The 19,454-nt window shown below is 39.7% G+C and overlaps 1 long non-coding RNA gene across 1 annotated transcript, besides 1 other annotated feature; it reads right to left on the bottom strand.

Moving 5' to 3' along the window:
• Window positions 1-6,265: 6,265 nt before the first annotated feature.
• Window positions 6,266-7,573, bottom strand: LOC105377018 (uncharacterized). The gene is made up of 3 exons (XR_940694.3): window positions 7,390-7,573; window positions 6,848-6,891; window positions 6,266-6,646 (listed from the first exon to the last, which is right to left on the bottom strand). It is a non-coding gene; the product is annotated as an uncharacterized LOC105377018 (long non-coding RNA).
• Window positions 17,054-18,253: an enhancer, noted in NCBI's record as "MED14-independent group 3 enhancer chr3:31253640-31254839 (GRCh37/hg19 assembly coordinates)". NCBI's record gives its function as "activates an origin of replication core promoter dependent on BRD2, BRD4, P300/CBP and CDK7 cofactors, and independent of MED14, by STARR-seq in HCT116 cells {active_cell/tissue: HCT116}" and the evidence as "EXISTENCE:reporter gene assay evidence [ECO:0000049][PMID:35650434]".

Genomic DNA, 19,454 nt, shown 5'->3' on the forward strand with positions numbered 1-19,454 from the left:
TATGAGAACTACCCACCCCGCCCGCCATGGAAAACATTTATTCTGGAACATAACTGACTTTCCAGTAAAGTGTAATATTTTCAAAGTGTTGCCATTTCCATTATGTAAAAAGTACATTGCCTTTTAGAACAGGTGTTTTGGAAAAATTAAACTTGTGTCAAAATGGATATTCTAATTTGTAATGGGAAGTTAACACAGATGGCTATAATGAGGGCTGTAAACTATCTTTTAATTTATTATTTAGAACCTTATATCATTATGCACACACCCTCAAAATGTGCAACCCCTCCAAGCACAGTTCTCAGCAGATGTGCTCAAAGGTGTCAGTAATAGCTAAGTGATGATCTGAACTGCATGGCAAAGTCAATAGAAGGTTGATGGAAATGTAGATTATAATGGAACAGGCTTTTGGAAAACAATCTCCGTGTGATGTATAGGCCATGCTATTCGGCGAGGGCGTGGGTGTGAGCACATAAACACACACACAGAGGAATCATTCAGAAGCACAGTAAGGAAGTCAGAGCATTGTGGGCTCATGCTTATTTCTAGAAGCATCACCCATTGGAAGGGGCTGAGTCAGTCCTTTAGATTAATATAGTGGTCACGATTTAGTACCAACTATACAGCAGGTACCATCAGTAGTCCTTTAAAAGAATGATCTCATTTTATTCTCTCAACAGCCATATTTAGTAAATTGTAATATACCTATTTTACAGATAATAAAAGAGAGGTGTGCTTCATCACCAAACTACCACATGACCTTGGAAAAGGCAGAAAGGTCATTTATTTATCCAAGTCATATTTGTTTCAGAAACACATTTTCCAAGTTCAATAGGAAGCAAATTTGGTTTTATGTCAGATTTGTTCATTTATTTCAAGAAATTTGTAATTGAGATACAGAGAATAGCTTGTTTATATTTAGTTATATTCTTTCTTTGACAACAGTATGCTTTATTTGAAAAGCTGAGGATAAACATTGGGAAGAATGACATGGTACCAGGTATTAAAGATGGATAAGGATGGCAAGAAAATAAGGCTGGAAACATTATCAGGGCCAAATCATGAAAATTCCATACACGATCTTAAGAAGGTTGGGCTTTATCCAGAGGATGATGAAGAACCTTTGAAGGACTTTCATCAGTGGCTACTTGATTTAACTCCACTTCTGTCTCCAGGATTGAGTATAGCTCCACCTCAATCTCTTGTAGCTAAAACCTTCCAGAATTTTCAACCTCATGGCATGTTAAAATTCCTAAAGCTTTTCTTCTGCAGTGAACTTCACCAGAGGAAAGGAAATTCCCAATGTCTGTAGACTTTCCCAACCAGCCAGCATGCTCAGCCCTTCCCACCTGTTCTTTGATAGGGTAATAATTCCTATCACCCAACTCAAGGAATAGAATCCTCCTAATCCATTCAGAGCAAGAAGAAAAGATAAGAATGGCTCAGCACTTGTAGCATGAACCTGCATAACTGCCTCTGTAATATGTTTCTCCCTTTAGCCACCCCATTTACCTTTAGCTGTTTTTTCCTTGAAGCTGGAGCATTTATTTCACTCAAAGCTATTAAATGGAAGTATTCCTTAGTGACATCACTAATACTAGGCTAAATTCAAAACTGTTCCCTCTTTAAAAGTTTAAAATTACAAATCTGTTATGCCGTAATACAACCTTTAAAGTATAAACAGGCCATTTTGTAAAAAAAAACTTAGTGTGTTCTCTACAAGTTTTTTTTTTTTCTTTTTCTCCTTTTGGACAAAGAGAAAGTTCCTAATAAGAAAATGGAAAATGCTTTTGGTATGAAATAATCCAAAACAAACACACACACACACACACACATGCGCGCGCACACACACACACACACTTTGGCTTTCAAAGATTGAATGGAGAAAGAGTTGTTTAAAAGGAGTAGTAGAATGTCTAACCAGATAATATCCCAAATATTTCAAGCACCACCCAAGAGGGAGTTTCCACTAGCACATGCCGCAATTTGCCACAGGCAGATGAGAGCGTCTAATTCAGAACATAAGCTGAGCCTCTATCTATAAAAAATTCTGCAAGCAACAGCATGACCTGGCTAGAATAATGATGTAGGACTTGTGGCTGAGAACATTCCACAGCTCAACAGATGGCTCTCCTCTGGGGTTTGAGACAGGCAGGCATCAGGCAATATCCTGACAAGAGTGAAATACTGACCCGAGGAGAAGAAAATCAGAGCCCCGGGAGATGGCATATCTTTTGTGAAACACACCATTTTCTAGGTGTGCCCTGCAGGAAGCGCCCCCTGAAAACAGCAACAAAGCAATTGCTTTCTTACAGAAGCATGTCAAGGAATTTGTAAAACAAAACCATTGGTGCAAGTGAAATTCTGTGATTTTTTTTTTTTTTTTTTACACTGAGATATTTCGATTTGTGTTTGTTTGTCTCTGCATTCAGAAGCTAAATCTTGTTACCACACGTCTTGATTCTAACTCAAGGTTTACTTCTCTGGCATATTCCAGCCCAAATTCCTTGCATCCTCAGTCCAGATCCTCTTCTATACCAGGGAGAAAACTAAGCCATGGCTGTTAACTGATAATGAGCCTGTGCTTGGTGCTATAAACAGCCTCTCCCACCCACCCAGACAGGCACTGGATTAGTGCAAAAGCAGGGCATCCCCCTGCCACCCCCCAACCCTCAGACATATCCAAAATTGAGTTCATTGTCCTCCCTCCACAACCCAATTCTCCTCTTAGTTCCACTAACAGACAAATAACTATACCATCCACCTCGTTATCCAATCCAGAAACGTAGAACTTGTTTTGGCTTCCTCCATCTTCCTCAAGTCTCTGGCCAATAATCAAGCCCCGTCATTTTGACAACCAAATCTCTCTCCCATCTGTTTTTCAACAGCCACCTTCCAGGCCAGCTCATTCTGGTCTCAGCCCTAAATTATGCAACCTGTAGCCTGAGTGATCTTTCCCAGCACAGCTCAAATTGAGTTTCTCTTGCTAAAAGCCCTTCTAGTAGCTCTCCACGGCTATTAGAATAAAGTCCAAAGTCCTTACCATGACTTAGGAGGCCCATCAAGTTATGGCCCTTGCTTTTATTGAAACCTTCATGCCTTGCCATGCCCCACCTATCACTGTATGTCCCAACCAGTCTGATGCCATATGGCTTCCCCAAAGTACTGTTGGCATGCTTGCCACCTGGCCTTTGCCCCAAATGAGCGTTCTCTACTTAACTGCTACTTGTCCCTAAACCTCAACTCAGCTTTCTCTGCCAATAGGAAGGCTTCTCTTTTCTCCTTTGGTGCCCTCCCCATACGTTCTCATAATGCTCTTTCAAGTCATAGAACTACCGCACCATGTTGGTGTCTGGGTCCTGGTAGTATTGCATACCAATATTTAGGCTTAGAACTTAGAACATTTTAGAAACTTGAATATTTGTTGAATGAATGAATGAAGACTCCTTGAAAAACTGAATGATATATTGAATAAATAAATTATATTCCTGATTATTTTGGCAATTGATAGCACATCTCTCTGCTTCCCCACACCATCATACTACTCACTTCCTTCCTTGTCTCTTACTGACTTTGGCACTGATCTGGTTCCTAATCTAGTCATTTCTCAGGCCCTCTTCACTTGGTGTACATGTGTGATATCCCTGCTGTCAGACCCTTGGCGTTCCTATGGTGTCTCTGATTTGGCCTGCCTTCTTGTTTCGCTATTCTTTTTTGGGTAGGGCTAGTCTCATAGAATCAATTGTTGGTCCCAGTCATTCACTTGTCCTATGCCTGGGCCAGTCACCACTCCTGCCCCACCCTATTCATGAAATGAGGAGTCAAGCATATTAATAAACACCCATAGTTCCCAGAGTCCCTCCTCAAGACTCAGACAAAATTATGCCATTTTTTTCCCCTTAAATTGTGATGTTGAAGCAGGACACACACAACTTTGTGAGCAGAAGTTTCCTCTGCTCTGCCAAGGAATAAAGGTCAAAGCAGAGATATGCACATGCCCTTTGACCACAGGTGCCTCCAGTGACCACCACAGTGGCATCATCAGCCAATTTCTCATCTTTCTGTAGAAGAGTCATATGGCTTTATGTCAGAGCTGTAGGTATCCATGCATACCCAGGACTTAAAATCTTGGGGAATTTTTTCTTACAAACCAACTGCTGTGGGGCAGTGTAAGGAAGAGTCATCTTATCCTTGCACGGAAGACCCTATCAATGTCTTGGCTACTCTGCAGGGCATTCTCAACAGCTGCATCCGCCATCCCGTTTGCTGCCAGGAGTCAGAGGCCCACATGGCTAGGACACTGCAGCTGAGCACCGCTCATCTATAATGTTCTCTCACAACACTTACACTCGGAGTCCTCTCCTATCCTACCTCTTCAGGCACCATCCTCTGCCACTTCCACGTATTTTTTCCACTTACTTTAGTCTTGATTTCTGCCACTCTAACCTTGGTGCTAAGATCCTGGTCTTGACCTTGCCTCTGACACTCTCAACTTGATGTCTACACATGGACTTCCAAGTGTGTGACATATGGCTTCCCTTTATGACTTTGATTGGCTCATCCTCCAGCTTAAGATTCCAACTCCATAGCATCAGCCTATCCGAAGGCCCCTTGGAAGGAGAAGGACAGCATGGTATAGTCAAACAAATAACCACCTTGCATTGCCAAGTGGGCAGCATGCTTCCTGTGGATGCTCTTTACAGAGACCACTTTATCCTAGACTTGTGTACCCTGAAACCTAAGGCTAGTGTTGGAAGATAACTATATTGCAATTGACTGACAGAATAAATCAGGTGGATTTTGAAGAGCATTCATCTCTATTTACGCCACCTCCAGATACCCTGCTGTCCTTCCTTAAGGCATTTTTAATTTTAAAAGTGCAATTCTTAAAACACAAAAGGTGGAACTGAAAACATCACCAGACATCACAGAAGTGTGGGCTAGCCGTTAAGGAGGAAGATGGAATCTTGATATCAAAAGCTATTAAAAGCCCTTTTTTTCCTATCTCTTCACCTGCGCACCTGATTGCTTTTAAGTGAAGATGTAAGATCACAAGGAGAAGAGGGTGCAAAAAATAGAATGCCATTTTTTCTTCTCCATTCTCTCACAGATAACGACGTGGGAGCGTTGGCCGATAAAGACAACCAGCGTAAATTAAGAGCTTAACTGGAAGCCTATTACAGGCCGTCTCCACTCGCTCTTGCCTATTCGTATTCTTGCACAGTACACAACACAACTTGAGGGAAGGCCAAAAAAAAAAAAACCTCTAGAAAACTCAATTGTTATAACCAATTGTTCAGTGAAATGTCCTTTATTAAGCCTCTCTAAATTAAAGAGACTCCTCCTTCTCCCACTTAAAACTGACCTGCATCAAATACTGTCTTTGCTTATCATGGTGCTACAAAGTGTTTACAGGCCAAAAGGGGTATTAAAATTCTGAGACAAAACATTTTAAACATGATCTTAGGGACTATACTTTCACCCCAATACTGTCCATGGTATAATTAACTTCATGGGAAATTTAAACCACAAAACCCATAATACAAGGTCAAATGTTCTGAAGGATTTACTCAATGAATTTAGAACTTGAGAAAGAATGCAAAAGTTCATAAAAATCAGGACACAAATCATCCTCTTATTCTAGTTAGGAGCAATTAAAGGAAAATATGTCACTTGATTTAGCTGCTCTGTCTAATTAACTGCCCAAATCCATGCCCAGAGTCCTGTTAAAGACATCGGGAGCCATGGGACCCTTCCCCCATCCTACTGATGAACACCTGATGAAGGGTAGGCACTCAAGGGTCTCCTTCACAGGAAGTTGAATTCAGACACCAACACTGTAGTTATTTAGCCACAGGTGCAAGACTTGGAAAGCCATGTAAACTAAGGTGCTTACTACATTTTGGAATAGGTGAAGATTACACCCAATACTATGGGAGATTCGTGAGGGAGAGAGACAGAGAGAGGCAGAGAGAAAGAGAGAGGCAGAGACAGAGAGAGAGAGAGAGATAAGTATCTCAAAGCTTTCCAGTTCCAGGAGTTATACCTTCTTCAAAATACCATCAGAGTCCCCTGAAATAAATTGCTTTTCACTCGCGCTTTCTTAAGGGATTTCTGTTGCTTGCCACCAAGTGATGCCTGCCCATGCCTGTATCTTCCATGTGACCTTTTATTGTGGTTTGTGTTTTCCTGGGTTAAGCCATACCTTTGAGCAATCATGTATTTTAACGACAGCCCAATCATTACAAATGTCCCAGATTCCCAGTGGTTTTTATGACTGACATTTTATTACACAAATTACAAGGCTAGAAACCATATCCCCAGTTTTCAAGAGTCTATAACAAGATAGAGTTTGAGTGAAATATCTTTGTAGTAAAGGAAGCAGAAAAGAAACACTTTAAGCCCCCTGAGAGAATAAAATTGATGTCAAAGGGCCCTTACAACTATACTTTAATCACTACCTTCCACACCTTTCCCAATCTTCTGGAATCTTTGATGATGTTATTTTATTTTGTTTATGCTTTCGAAAGCAGTTGGGGAGGTAAGTAGGGTTTGCCAGACTTTGGAGATAGAAAGGGATAATCAACTGGAATCTTTGACACCAAAATAATAAAATTGTGAAGAAGACACTTTTCTTGTCTTTCCTCTGTAAATAAACACAGAACACAATCAAGTACATCAATTGCAGAGGATGAATGACATTTAGGAACAATGACTAGAATAAGCAAATGCATTGCAAAATACAATATGCCCAGTCAAATTAAATTTCACATAAACAGTGAATGTTGCACAGTATGTATTTATACTATAAGAAATTTTTCTTGCAATTTTAGAAACCTTAACTTACCTTCTTGTCTCAAAAGTTCGATTGAAGCTCCAAAGCTGAAAACACTGGGGAAGAAGAAGCCAAACAAATCAATGTCCCTAAAATGACCTGCTAGACATACTTTGCCTTCAGTTTGGATTCTGCCTCAACTTTTGTGCTTAGGGTTTCTTAACTTTCCATCTCTTCTATATAATCTTGTCAAACTAGTCTTTTTAAGAGTCCACTTTCCCACTTATCATTGGCTATAACCTGCAAACTCCTTCAGGGCAGGGCCGTATCCAACTCATCTCTGTTTCCTCAGAATCCTGGGAACACATAGAAAGTGTTCAATAAACCTTCACTGAGATTTGCCAATGGCCTTTTGCCTCAATTCCAGACTTCCCTTCCTGGCTTTGTGAAAGCTTTCTTTCTCTCTCTAATCAAGCCTCAGCTGGAAAACTTTGTTTTTTATTTCTTCTCAACAAAAGCATCCATGTTTATTAAGATTTTGTTTCTCCTATTTCTTAAACAAGTATTGCCTCTCTGCTTGTACTAAAGTAGATGCCCTTTCTGTAACACCCTACCTCTGCTCCCGGAAAGTTACATAAACATACTGAAGATCCAGTTTGGCTGGGCACAGCGGCACATTCCCTGTAGTCCCAATGACTTGGGAAGCTAAGATGGGAGGATAGCTTGATCCCAGGGAGGTTGAGGTTGTAGTGAGCTGTGATCATGTCACTGCAATCCAGGCTGGGCAACAGAGTGAGACTGTCTCAAAAAAAAAAAAAAAAAAAAAAAAAAAAAAAAAAAAAAAAAAAAAACCGGTTCAAGTATCACATTCTTTAATTGTTCCATCCAATGCTATCTCTGTTTCATGAAACATCCATATTACAAGTTAAAGGAAAGTTTCACCTTCAATGGTTTTTCCTGCTCTAAGATCCTTAAAATAGAGGACTATATCATAAATCTCTCCTGTCTGCCCCTTTAGCACAATGCTTTTCCAGTGGACATGGCCCACAAACAGGAATTGGATGTTATTTCCATTGCTTCCAGCAAAATTCATGGCTTAAAACCTCCCACAGCAACTAAGGAGCAAGATATTGGAGGCTTTCGCTGTTTGCCTTGTCAAGTCTTACCCACCCAATATCCAAATGCTCTGATTTACAGCAGGCTACTGGGGGCTGGAATTTGAATTGCCTTAGTTAATAGCTTTCCAGAGGCCAAACCGTATGTGCTAAAGATAATTTTTTAAAACTCCACTGTAGGGCCCAGCCATGGTGGCTCACGCCTGTAATCCCTGCATTTTGGGAGGCTGAAGTGGGAGGATAACTTGAGCCCAGGAGTTTAATAACGGCCCAGACAACACAGCGAGACCCCTAGCTCTACAAAAAAAAATAAAATAAATGAGAAATATTAGCTGGGAGTGGTGGTGCACACCTGTAGTCCCAGCTACATCAGGAGGCTGAGGTGGAAGGATCACTTGAACCTAGGAATTCAAGGTTACAGCAAGCTATGATCATGCCGCTGCACTCCAGCCTGGGTGACAGAGCAAGACCCTTCCAACACTAAATTAAATAAATAAATAAATAAACCTCTACATAAAAAGCAAAGCTCAGAAAATTGTTTAGGGAAGGGGTTAATAGCATGGGGGTTTAATCTTGGCCCTTCTACAAATTTTAATCAATCCAACAAATGTTTTTACATCACATCTCATTTTGATGTACATTTTTCAGACCATGAGAAATTGGCATCTTCACGTTTATCAGACGTTTCATTTCTTCTTCTTTCAATGATAGTTCATATTCTGATTTGGGTTCAGTTTGAAATCTGAGCTTGAGATGTAGTTTGGGGAGTAAATCGGGGTAGTCATTCAGATATTGGTGTTGGAAAAGACAGACCAGGGAATGTGGTAGGTGTGACTACCCAACTGAGTTTGTCAAAAAAAAAATGGATTTTCATAGTTAGTTATTCAGAAGTATTCATTTAGCAATAGCCAAGTAAACCAGAAATGAGCAATTTAAAGCCTAATCTTAAGCCCTCTGCTCACATTTGATGTTATGGGATTTTTGTTGGGATAAACTAAATCATGTTTCCAAGAATCAAACATATTGGTAAGTGGGAAATTTCCAGAAGGCAATATCAATAAAGCTGTGTCTGCCACTCCAATTTGACACTGTGAGATAGAGACAAATCTGGCAAGGGGTAGCGGCTGCACTGGGTTCTGTGTAGAACTGATAGTGGTCCAAAATGATGAAATCATAGCGTCTGCTCTGACTGGGTATAAATTGTTTAGAGCAATTTCTATGGCTACTGGGCCAAAGTCAGCACAATCAACTGCAGATTGGAGAGTCAGAACTGTTGACATAGAGTTCAACATTAAGCAAACAAGGCATGTTGCTATAAGTCAAACCGCTATCATATTAGCTTTACAAGGAAATAATTTTCAAAGATGCCAAAGAGTCAGTATATCCCATACACCACTTTACTATGGCAGAATATACTAAGGACACAAGGGGTTATAATACTGTAACCAAGAACTGCTGAATATATAGGACTCTGCAAGGAGGAGTCATAATGTTTTATTGGCCCCTGATTTAGAGATTATGAAAGTTATGCTCATTCCTCCACATATCAAGAGAGAAGCTCAAGGGGTAAAACTCCACCATTGTGAGGTCTCATTTTAGTTCTGACATCCTAGAACAAGAATAACGGGGGTGAATGAGGTTATCTAATGATGGTTTTCTCACTCTTAAATTTTAGTCATTGAAATAGTAATAATGATAAAACAGTAACAAGAGTTAACGATTAACAAGTGCTTCTCTATACCAAGGACTGTACTTTATTTAATATTTAACCCAGCCAGGCAGGGTGGCTCATGCTTGTAATCCCAGCACTTTGGGAGGCTGAGGCGGACAGATCACTTGAGGACAGGAGTTCAAGACCAACCTAGCCAACATGGTGAAACCCCCTCTCTACTAAAATACAAAACAATTAGCCAGGCATGGTGGTGGGTGCCTGTCATCCCAGCTACTCAGGAGGCTGAGGCAGGAGAATCACTCGGACCCAGGAGGCGCAGGTTGCAGTGAGCCAGGATCATGCTATTGCAATCTAGCCTGGGCAACAAGAGCGAAACTCTGTCTCAAAAAGAAAAACTTAATCCAACCCCATAAGATAGGGTGGATCATTTAGGAAGTAACTCATGGCTTGGCATAATCTTTCTGGAGATCTTTCCTATCTCTAGAACTTCCTGAAGATGCTGGTTAGAGGCAACATCCACGTTATTATGGAAGTGGCACCCAACGCTAACCTCAGATGCAATATACAGGGTGAGTCCATCTTTGGCTTCCTTTTTTCTTCATCATTTCTTCTTCTTTGGTCTCGGTTAGATAGCTATGTAGCCACATAAGGAATTAGATTAGCCTATGAGTGAATCCCATTAAATGTTGAATAGGAACACATCCAAACTCAGTCAAACTCAGTGCTCATACAGGATGTAAAGAAGAAAGGATACGACAAAAGAAACTGATTGTTACTTTGGATGCCTAGTTTAAAAAATAAAAATAAAATCTGGCCCACTACTTAGGAACTACTCAGATCTTGGAAGGACTCTGAAGAATTCTTGTTTTAGAGTTGTGCTATTCTCAAATAGCTATTTTTATGATTAACTTCTATTCTGAGTGATAAATGAAAAAAGAAATTCTTGAACTTTTCAGCAAAATAATTGCCAAGATTTGTTTTATCATAGTGACTCAGAGAATTACATTTATATTGTCCTGACCTCAGAAGTCTTCATTTTGTTTTGGAAAGTAAATAAACTAAAACAAGATAATTTTCTTTTTCACTAAAGAGATGTTCAGTGTTCTGTTCTGGGACAAGATTGATCCATTTTATATGGTAATTGAATTCTTCACCATTGTTCTTGCCTGCATATATCTGTCAACTTTGAGTTTGGGGTCTTAGACAATTAGCTAAAAGTTAAGAATTCAGCTGTTCATTCATTGGGGAGTTGCGTTGCCTTTTCTCCCTGTATTAGTCCTTTCTTACAATGCTATAAAGAACTGCCCGAGACTGGGTAATTTATAAAGGAAAGAGGTTTAATTGACTCACTGTTCTGCAGGGCTGGGGAGGCCTCAAGAAACTTATGATCATAGCAGAAGGGGAAGCAAGCACATCTTTCTTCACATGGCGGCAGGAAGGAGAAGTGCTGAGCAAAGAGAGAAAAGTGCCTTATAAAACCATCAGATCTCACTCACTATCATGAGAACCAGATGAGGGTAACCACCCCCATGATTTAATTACCTCCCACCGGGTCCCTCCCATGACACATGGGGATTATGGGAACTATAATTCAAGATGAGATTTGGGTGGGGACACAGCCAAACCATATCACTCCCCCTTTGTGATCTGGCTTTGTCACTTACTCATGTAAAACTGTTAGAATAATAGTGAAAAATAGTAGCAGTGAAAAACAATTGTAACAAAGTAAACCCAGCTAATGGAGAGACTTCTGTAGAAAGTGGACATCAGAAAAAGATCTCCTTCATTTGCGAAGCTTTTAGTGACCATCATGTGCCAGATACTATGATTTCCAGGCCTTAGGATGGAGGAAGTGAAGGACAGCTCATGGCAGCTTCACCTGGGGAGAGTGTGGGCCGTAGAGGCAGGTAGAACTGGCTTTGGTCTACCCTGGGGAATAGGTGACATTCGGCTTTACACCAGCTTCTGGTGAATCACAAAGATTACTCATTTGATTTTTTAAAAATTGTTTATTTTGAATAATTGTAGATACATAGGTATTTGTAAGAAATAATAAAGAGATATCCTGTGCACCCTTAACCCAGTTTTCCCCAGTGATAACTTCTTATATAACTATAGTACAATATTACAACCAGGACATTTACATTGATTTAATTCACCAGACTTACTTAGATTTCACCAGTTGTATATGTACTCATTGTGTGTGTATGTGTGTGTATTTAGTTCTATGCAATGCTATCACATCTGTAGATTTGTGTGCCCACCACAGTCAAGATACAAAGCAGTTCTATGGCAACCATGAATCTGGTTCTCCAGCTGTATAATTGTTGTCATTATAAGAAGGTTATATAAAGGAAATCACATAGTATAACCTTTGAGATTAGCTTTTTCAACTCCACATAATTCATTTGCGATCTATGCAAGTTGTTGCATGTATCAGCACTTTGGTCCTTTTTATTGCTTAGCAATATTCCATGGTATAGATGTGCTATAATTTGTTCAACCAATTACCCACTGACACATGTTTGGATTGTTTCCAGCCTTGAGCTGTATCAAATAAAGCTGCTATGAACATTAATGTAGATTTGTGTATGATTATAACTTTGCATTTGTCTGGGATAAATGTCCAAAAGTGTAATTTCTGGGTTGTATGTTAGGTCTATATTAGTTTTATAAGAAGATGCCAAATAATTTTCTAGAGTGACTATACCATTTTACATTATCACAGCAATACATGAGTTTCTCTACGCCTTTCCCTAATAAATGTGTAGCTATATCTTATTGTGAATTTAATTTGCATTGCATTTCCTGGATGTGTAACAATGCTGAACGTCTTTTTCACATGCTTATTTCCCATCTGTATATTCTTGTTAGTGAAATATATGTTCATGCATTTTTCCCATTATCAAATTGGATTCTTTGTTCAATTTTTATTGTTGAGTTTTAAGAGCTCTTTATATGTTCTAGGTATGTCTTTTGTCAACTATGTGGGTTGCAAATATTTTCTCCCAGTCTATAGCTTGTTTTTTCATCTCCCTAACAGAGTCTTTGCAGAGCAAAAGTTTTTAGTTTTGGTGAAGCTCTTTTTATCACTTTTTTCTTTAATGAATCATGTTTTTGCTAACTGGTCTAAGAATGCTTTGCTAGCCTTAGGTTTTCAAGAGTTTCTTCTTTTTTTTTTCTAGAAGTTTTATAGTTTTACATGTTACATGTAAACCTATGGTCCACTTTGAGTTAATTTTTGTATAAGGTATGAGGTTTAGATTGAGGTTCTTTTTTTCCTATTGTTAGCCCATGAATGTCCAATTGCTCCAACACCTCTTGTTGAAAACACCATTTTTCCCCCACTGAATTGTTATTGCACCTTTGTTGATGCTATGGTTTGGCTGTGTCCCCACCCAAATCTCATCTTGAATTGTAGTTCCCGTAATACCCACATGTCACTGGAGGGACCCGGTGGGAGGCAGTTGAATCATGGGGCAGGTTTTTCCCACACTGTTCTCGTGATAGTGAATAAGTCTCACAAGATCTGATGGTTTTATAAAGGGCAGTTCCCTTGCATATGCTCCCTTGCCTGCCACCATGTAAGACACGCCTTTGCTCCTCCTTTGCCTTCTGCCATGACTGTGAGGCCTCCCCAGCCATGTGGAACTGTGAGTTCATTAAACCTCTTTTTCTTTATAAATTACCCAGTCTTGGGTATGTCTGTATTAGCAGTGTGAGAATAGACTAATATAGTCAAAAAATCAGTCATCTATAAGGGTCTATATCTGTGTTCTCTATTCTGTTCCCTTGATCTACCTGTCTGTCCCTCCACAAACACTACATTTGTCTTGATTACTATAGCTACATAGTAAGCATTAATATGAGGTAATTTTCTCCCATTAGTTATTCTTTTAAAAAATATTTCAGCTTTCTAGGTGCTGTGCATTTCCATGTAAATTTTAAAATAAACTTGCCTATGTTTATTAAAAACTATGCTGAGCTAGATATCCACAAGCAAAAGAATGAAGTTCCAACCTTTCCTAACAGTATATACAAAAATTAATTCAAAATGAATCAAATACCTTAGGTAGGACCTAAATCTATAAAACCTTTAGAAGAAAGCATAGAGCAAAGTTTTATGACATTTGATTTAGCAATGACTTCTTGGATATGACATCCAAGAGACAGGCAACAAAAGAAAAAATAAACAAACTGGAGTCTATTAAACATATCTTTTTATTGTGCATTGAAAGACACTATCAACAAGGTAAAAAAAAAAAAAGGCAACTCACAGAATGAGAAAAAATACTTACAAATCATATATCCGATAAGGGATTAATATTCAAAACATATACAGAATTCCCCAAATCAGCCACAACCATAAAAAACCCTCAATTTTTAAAATAGGAAAAAGACATCAGTGGATATTTCTCCAAAGACTATTATACAAATAACCAATAAATATTTAAAAGATGCTCAACGTCACTAATCATTAGAGAAATGCAAATATAATAAAATCTCACCTCACATCCATTAGGATGGCTACTCTCAAAAAAACAGAAAATAATAAGTGTTGTCAGAGTGGAGAAATTGGAACCCTTATGCACTGGTGGTGGGACTATAAAATGATACAGTCCCTATGGAAAAGATTACAGCAGTTCCTCAAAAACAAAAACAAAAACAAAAAAAATAGTATTACCATATGGCCCAGCAATTCCACTTTTGGGTATGTACCCAAAAGAATTTAAAGCAGAGTCTCCAGTAGATATTTGAACATCCATGTCCATGCAGCTAAATGTGGAAGCAATCCAGTTTTCACCAACCAATGAATGAATAAGCAAAATGTGGTGTATACATGTAATGGAATATTATTCAACCATAAAAAGGATGAACCTACAACATGGATGAACCGTAAGGATATTATGCTAAGTGAAGCAAGCCAATCACAAAAAGACAGATACTATATGCTCCCATTTACATGAGGTACTTAGAGTTGTCAAACTCATAGAAACAGAAAGTAGAATGATGATTGCCAGGGACTGGGGAAGAGCAAGAATAGGAAGTTTTGTTTTTGTTTTTATACTTTAAGTTCTGTGTTACATGGGCAGAACATGCAGTTTTGTTGCATAGGTATACATGTGCCCTGGTGGTTTGCTGCACCCATCAACCGGTCACTTACACTAAGTGGTTCTCCTAATGTTATCCCTCCCCTAGCCCCCCATTCCCCAACAGGCCCCAGTGAGGAAGTTATTTTTAATAGGTATAGAGTTTCAGTTCTACAAAATGAAAGGAGCTATGGAGATGGATGGTGGTGAATGAAAGGAGCTATGGAGATGGATGGTGGTGATGGTTGCACATTATGAGTGTATTTAATACCATTTAAGTGTATATATAAAATATTAGGATGGTAAATTTTATGCTATGTGTATCTTACCATAATTTTAAAAATTGAAAAAGGAAAAATCATACTGGGATTTTGATAAGATTTGCATTAAACTTACAGATGGATTCAGGGAGAATTTACATATTTGCTGTGTCGTATTTGGCAGTACATAAAACACCACTTTGATTTTAATTTTCCCCTGCAGGTTGCTTTGCCTCAGCCCCTGGATTACAACGCCCCCTGGCTCATACCTGAGTTCACCACAGCCTTTGGACCCCAGAACTGCCCTTGCTGGTTCTGGTCTCTGGCTAAATCTTCTATGATTGCAGCTTTGGCTACTACCTATAGCCTTAGGGAAAAACCCAGAACTTGTGTTTGAATTCTACTACCACCAGATGTTAGCTGAGTCATCTCCAGCCTCAATTTCCCAATCTGTGGGATTTGTTGCACTGTATACCTTAAACGGGAGTTATTGCTATTATTGCAGTTAACATAAGCTTCTACCACTTACCTAACTCAGCGCGTGCAGTTAGATTTTAGCATCTAAAATGCCAATCTGCAATCATCTTTATTAGTCATATTTTGCCTGTTTTTATCCATCATTCCAATTTGTTGTAATCATTCCAGTCCCTGATATAATCCACATTTTAATCTCAGATATTGAAAAGTAATGGCAGACAAGACAGAGAGTCATGGACAGAATTTGACGTACCACTAGAGAAATCTGTTCTCATTTAGGTCCTTTGATTACAGTTAACAAAAACACATTCTAAGAAATCAAAAGAAAGCCAAGGAACCATGCCTGGGAACAACATAACCAGATAGAACCAAAATCAGGTACATCAGACAGTCTAGCCTAAGAGGCTGGCTCTGGAATAAATAAGCTCTAATCATCATCTCTTTGTCTGTGTCACTCTGTTCAAGATTTGCAGAGCCCAGAGAAAGGTCTTCTTTGCTGAGCTCAGGTCTCATGACTGACTCCTGGCTGTACCAGGGCAGTAAGAAGAAGGATCTGGCCAATGAGATGCCTTAGCAGCTGTAATAGAAGGATTCCACCTGCACTTCCTGCCCCAGATGAATTCAGGGCACTGTCACGAGAGGTCATGAGTACTCGGATGCCACAAAGTGCCAAAAATCCATTCTAACTTTTTCTCATTTGATAGTAATTCACTAATAAGCACTTTCTGGTGATGGCCGTTCAGCCAGAAACAGATCCACCCAATTGTCCAGAAACATAGATCCACTAGTTCCACCAAAGATGTGTTGACAAATTGATACAAAGTCTTGTTGAAATACAAGTATATGAAACCTATGGCATTCCTTGAATCTACTGGAACCTAACGTAACTTTCACATTGGCATTTAACCTGCCACACTAGTTACGTAGTGATCCCAAGTTCTTCACTTAACTTCAGTACTCAAGTCTTCTCATTGACAGCAGTGAGATAATGGTTCTAATCTCACATTTTGGTGGGGGCTTTTATAAAGTACTATATAGCTTATTTGCTATCTATGTGCGAGTTACTATATAATGCCTACTGCCTCCTTATAAGCATAGAGACTGAATGGAAGTCCCTCAATTCTGTTTAGGTTTTTTGAGGGCTAAGGAGTTAAAACTAAGGAGAATAAATCTGGAGGGAGAGTTGAGTTGCTCTGCAAAAGAGAAGAAATAGAAATGGAAGACCTTTAGCCATCTAGAGAAACCTGGAAGAGACAGGTGAGAAACAGGACTGTGGGAGAGGGCGAAACCCTCCGCAAAATGGCAGTTTCCTACTAGAATGGACAAATTACAGAACAAAGGCACACTCGAGGTAGCTGAACCCAAGTGGTATAGAAAGCCAACAGGACACACTGACTCATCTACTGGCATTCCCATTCTAGAAAGTAGCAGAAATCTTGGAGGTAAAGCTCTGTGGACCATGGAATTTGAGAGTTAAAGGCAAATTTACGTAGATCTCAAGGGGCAGGAAAAAACCCCACCTGAATTTTGGCCTATATACATTTGCATTCATATACAAGAAGCAATAGAATAGTGAACTTTTCAGTCCTTGGGTGATTTTTGCTGAAGCAGAAAAAGGGGAAAAAAAGTCTCTGTGTTCTGTTATTCCAACTTTGATCTTTTATTCATTCTCTGAGGGCATAAATGATTGTTTATCTATGTTTTCATTAGTAAAACCACTCTTGAGGATTTTTTGTTTGTAGTTGTTGTTGTTTCCTGCTGTGGATTTTAACACAGAGGCCTTTCGTTTTGAACCAAATGTATCAACAACGAGCATCCTACAATTGCCATTTGCTAGATCCCTTTGTTTGTGGGCTCTTTTGCCTTATGTTCATGTAGGGTACAAAATTAATTACAAGCATGAATAGCTTGTGTCTGCTGTGTTGGAGAACCTGAGGTGATAATGGCTGCCACCTACCATACCCCAGAATGTGCCTACCCACAGCCTCTGCAGAACATGTAGCCCCAGGAGGATATGTTTTATACCATGCAGCCTGGCCATTCTGGTCTCAGTCAGGGGTGCAAATCTAAAGCAAGAGCAGCCAAACCATAGCCTCTCCATGACCTCTGGAGTGGCCACAGGTAAAAAGACAAGTTATGGCCGGGTGCTGTGGCTCATGCCTGTAATCCCAGCACTTTGGGAGGCCTAGGCGGGCGGATCATGAGGTCAGGAGATGAGATCATCCTGGCCAACACGGTGAAACCCCGTCTCTACTGAAAATATAAAAATGACCTGGGTGTGGTGGCATGTGCCTGTAATCCCAACTACTTGGGAAGCTGAGGCACGAGAATCGCTTGAACCCAAGAGGCGGAGGTTGGAGTGAGCTAAGATCTTGCCACTGCAATCCAGCCTGGTGACAGAGCAAGACTTTGTCAAAAAAAAAAAAAAAAAGTTATGCCAGTCAGATTCTCTTCCTCAGATATTTGAAACAGGAAATGAGTAAGAGAAGACGATGACAGTGTACATCAAAGAAGGCCATGAAATACCTTTAGAAGCCATGAGGAATCACGAGCAAGCCAGAATTAGGAGAAAGCAAAGTCAATAGCAAGAGCAGAAGGAAGGTAACATAAGAAACTCGATAGCACTGTACTAACCTCAACCTGTTCCTGCCTCAGGTATGAGCACATCCAAGCCATTCCCTTTGCCTACCTTTTACATTATCTCTTTTTCCTCTTCCCATCTCCTCCCTTCTTTGCTTAAAGACAACAAGGCAGAAGAATTAGAGTGTTGCCATCAGAAGTCATGGAAATGCACCATTGCAATTCCCTTGTTTTTCCCTATTTAAGCTGAGCTTTATGAAGGATACATTAACCACATTATCAGATGGAGACATAATGACAAGCCTGCTCTTCATCTTTTCAAAATGCCCAGATGGAAATAATGTCTGAGAATGTAAAGTTTTCCCATCACAGCACTCTTCTCTCTTGTTGAATCTAATTGTAGCACTAGAAAAAGAGAGACTGACTCTTGCAAACCTCCCAGTGAAATGCCAACTGTAACACATCATTAGCTAAATAAGAAACAACAAGGTCAGCATGGTGTGCGAGAAATGGCAATGTTGTACTTGCTGTTGATTCAGAACTGGCGGGTTTGTGAGGAAGGGAAAAATAAATGTGTATAGAGGTAATGTTGGCCAGGTGCAGTGACTCACGCCTGTAAACCCAGCACTTTGGGAGGCCGAGGCAGGTGGATCACCTGAGGTCAGGAGTTCAAGACCAGCCTGGCCAACATGGCAAAACCCCATCTCTACCAAAAATACAAAAATAATAGACAGGCGTGGTGGCACACCTGTAATCCCAACTACTCAGGAGGCTGAGGCAGGAGAATAGCTTGAACCTGAGAGGCTGAGGTTGCAGTGAGCCGAGATCATGCCACTGCACTCCAGCATGGGTGACAAGAGCGAAACTCCATCTCAAAAAAAAAAAAAAAAAAAAAAAAGCAATGTCACTACAGGCCGCCACAATATATAGGTGTGCATGGGAAAATATAGTTGAGTGTATTTTCAGGATGTGGCAAGCGGATGTGGCTCAACCAGAGGAATTTATAGCAGCAAGTAACAGCCATACCACCATAAAACTGCACAGAAGCTACTTTTAGACTTTGAGGATCAAACAGCTAGATTCAAAACACAGATAATAGAATAACAACTGCTGCTTAACAGGGAGTAGGAGATAAAAATAATTTGCTACACTTTGCTAGATTCCACCCCATTCCTCTAACATAGCAATCCTGGGCAGTTAATTAGAGTATGTGTGGTCGCTGCAGATGAAGGGAAACTCTATCAGCGATGGAAGAAACAGTAGACAGGAAATCCTGAGCCAGCCATTAAAATAGGAGTAAGATTTCAGAAGCCAGAGATGAGATACAATAGGAGGTGAACTGAGTTAGAGGAAACAACTCCTAGTGAAAGAAGGTCTCTTTGCCCTAAATCAGTAAAAGGGATCTACATTAAAAATTCGTATTTAATCGTTAACGTTTATTTTAAAATAAACTAATGGTTGTTGTTTCTTATTTAATTAAGAAAT

The sequence above is a fragment of the Homo sapiens genome, chromosome 3, assembly GCF_000001405.40.
Source record: "Homo sapiens chromosome 3, GRCh38.p14 Primary Assembly".
Taxonomy (NCBI): Eukaryota; Metazoa; Chordata; class Mammalia; order Primates; family Hominidae; genus Homo; species Homo sapiens.